Source organism: Homo sapiens, chromosome 8 (assembly GCF_000001405.40).
Source record: "Homo sapiens chromosome 8, GRCh38.p14 Primary Assembly".
NCBI classification, from domain to species: Eukaryota; Metazoa; Chordata; class Mammalia; order Primates; family Hominidae; genus Homo; species Homo sapiens.
In genome coordinates this window covers 30,208,839-30,211,759 of record NC_000008.11, presented here as the reverse complement: position 1 = coordinate 30,211,759, position 2,921 = coordinate 30,208,839, and the positions used below count along the sequence as shown (strand labels likewise).

Sequence of the window (2,921 nt, the reverse complement as noted above, 5' to 3'; positions counted from 1 at the left end):
TAAATTACCCAGTCTCAGGCAGTTCTTTATAGCAGTGTGAAAGTGAACTAATACAATGTCCAATGCATCTCTTGAACTATTCCTCCTGTCTGATATTTTGTGTCCTTTGACCAACACCTCCCCAGTCTTCCCCGTCAACCTTATGGTGCAGTTCTTGGGACATAAAGCAAATGAGGCACTTGGTTGCAAGAGACTCACTGGGACCATCTAAAGTGTGCAGAGGGTGATGGCCAAGTTAATTGTAAACAGTTCATCCCGGCACGGCCCTCCCAGCCTCATGGCAACCTGGGGCAGACACACAGCGAGGACCCACTCTGTGTGGGATGAAGCTCAGGTCCGGGGGTGAGCTCGGGGTGCAGAGTGGCCCCGGCAGCAGGGCCACTTTTCTGTGCACTGAGGAGCAGGTGCTCTCATTGGCTGCCTCTCTGCCATTGATTCGCCAAATCCTCTTTGAGGGCCTACTGTGTGCCAGACCCTGAGTGGGTGCTTGGGACGCGGTTTGGTCTCTGCCTCTCTATGGTCTTTTGGCTTCTGTGCCCTGTCCCTAACTGCTCAGCTCCCCCTGCCTGCATTAGTCAGTGGTCTTTGTTCTCGAGTGTCTGACTGAAACCCCACTCAAACTAACTGAAGTAAAGGGAGCCATTAGGAGATCCTAGTATAAATCATCTATAGAAAGAAAGGCAGGGGTGGGCGTGGAAGGCAGAGGGAGGCAGCGGAGAATGAGGCTGACTTCCAAGTTGACAGATCTAGCTCACCAGGGAGCAAGCTGGGATTTTAAAATAGCTGCAGTTGGGTGCAGCAACTCATGCCTGTAATCTCAGCACTTGGGAGGCTGAGGCAGGAGGATTGCTTGAGCCCAGGAGTTCATGACCAGCCTGGGCAACATAGTGAAACTCTGTCTCTACAGAAAATAATTTAAAAATTAGCCAGGCATGGTGGCATGTGCCTGTGGTCCCAATTACTCGGGAGGCTGAGGCGGGAGGATTACTTGACCCCAGGAGGTTGAGGCTGCAGTGAGTAGTGATTATGCCACTGCAATCCAGCATGGGTGACAGAGCAAGACACTATCTCAAAAAAAAAAAAAAAAAAAAAAGAATTGGGTTTCTGTCTCCACTTAACAAACGAGATTTCTTCCATTATACCTCCTCAAATCCCAAACTCTCCAATATTTTAATAGTGCTCTGCTGTAATTTAGAAACTCTGCTCTCATTTGAAATTTACTGAGGATCTGTATAACAATAATATTAATAAATAGCAATTGTTGGCTGGGTGCAGTGACTTATCCCTGTAATTCCAGCACTTTGGGAGGCCGGGGCAGGAGGATTCCTTGAGGCCAAGAGTTTGTGACCAGCTTGGGCAACATAGTGAGACCCCATCTCTACAAAAATTTAAAAATTAGCAAGGTATGGTGGTGCACGCCTGTGGTCCTAGCTACTCAGGAGGCTGAAGTGGGAAGATTGCTTGAGCCTAGGAGTTTGAGGCTGTAGTGAGCTATGATGGCACCATGGCACTCCAGCCTGGGTGACAGAGCAATGCCCTGTCTCAAAAAAAAAAAAAAAAAAAAAAAGCCAGGCATGGTGTAACACCTATAATCCCCACAATTTTGGAGGCCAAAGCAGGTGGATCACTTGAGCCCAGGAGCTGGAGACCAGCCTGGGCAACATGGCAAAACCCCATCTCTACAAAAAATACTAAAATTAGCCAGATGTGGCAGTGCATGCCTGTAGTCCAAGCTACTAGGGAGGTTGAGGCAGGAGGGGATTTTGCTTGAGCCCAGGCTGGGATTTCAAGACTTCAGGAAGCTGAGATCACACCACTGCACTCTGACCTGGGCAACAAAGCAAGACTCTGCCTCAAAAAAAGAAAAAAAAATCTGTGTAGATACTAGGCAAACATTTTTCTGAGCATGGCTTTGATCTTTTGGTAGGAACATTCCAGGAGAAAAACAAGAAAAAAAGCTTCTTAAGGATCTGCTGTTCCTTGGCTGAAGGATCTGGTATCAGGCTGATTGATGAAGGTCATGACATGCAGCAGTTAGGCAAAAAAAAGTCCTCTTCTCACGATCAGAAGAGCCGCATGTGTGTGTGAGCCAGTTGCTATCCTGCCTCCTTCAAGGTTAAGCACCTCAAAAAACTACCATGTGTCTGCTGGAAATTTTACTTAACCCAAGAAATAAGCAACAGTGCATCATAGGGCCATAAAGAGTTCTGCACCTATGTTCACATTATTTGCAGAATCATGTCTATTACAATTGTGACCTGTGTACAAACAAATAGACTTCTTAATGCATGGATCAAGTATGATAGTCACCTCTGAAGATTTTTAACGTGGGAATGTGATGGGGTGAGACTGGAGAACTTAACAATCATATTAACAGCTGCACAAGTCATTTTCTCATTTTTCTACTTTTCATAATAATCATGTAACTATACATATGTTAGTATTAATGCTTATTTCTTTGGTTAAATAAAAATTCCAAAGGACACAGGGCAGATTTTGGAAGTTCTTAACCATGAATGAATCAAGATAGGGTAGTGATTAGCCTTAGATAAATCCCAAGAAAATTACATTCATTTGGTGGATTGAGACCAAATGCAGATTTTTTTTTTTTTTTTTTTTTTTTAAATAAAAAGAAGCTCACGCCTGTAATCCCAGCACTTTGGGAGGCCAAGGCAGGCAGATCACTTGAGGTCAGAAGTTCAAGACCAGCATGGCTAACATGGTGAAACCCCATCTCTACTAAAAATACAAAAATTAGCTGAGCACTGTGGCAGGCGCCTGTAATCCCAGCTACTCGGGAGGCTGAGGCAGGAGAATCGCTTGAACCTGGGAGGTGGAGGTTGCAGTGAGCTGAGATCGCGCCATTGCACTCTGGCCTGGGCGACAAGAGTGGAACTCCATCTCAAAAAAATAAATAAAAT

At 45.4% G+C, this 2,921-nt stretch overlaps 1 annotated feature.

The window, feature by feature from the left end:
* Window positions 356-857: an enhancer, noted in NCBI's record as "H3K4me1 hESC enhancer chr8:30068419-30068920 (GRCh37/hg19 assembly coordinates)". NCBI's record gives its function as "activates a minimal SCP1, AML or CMV promoter by ChIP-STARR-seq in naive H9 embryonic stem cells {active_cell/tissue: H9 hESC(naive)}" and the evidence as "EXISTENCE:reporter gene assay evidence [ECO:0000049][PMID:30033119]".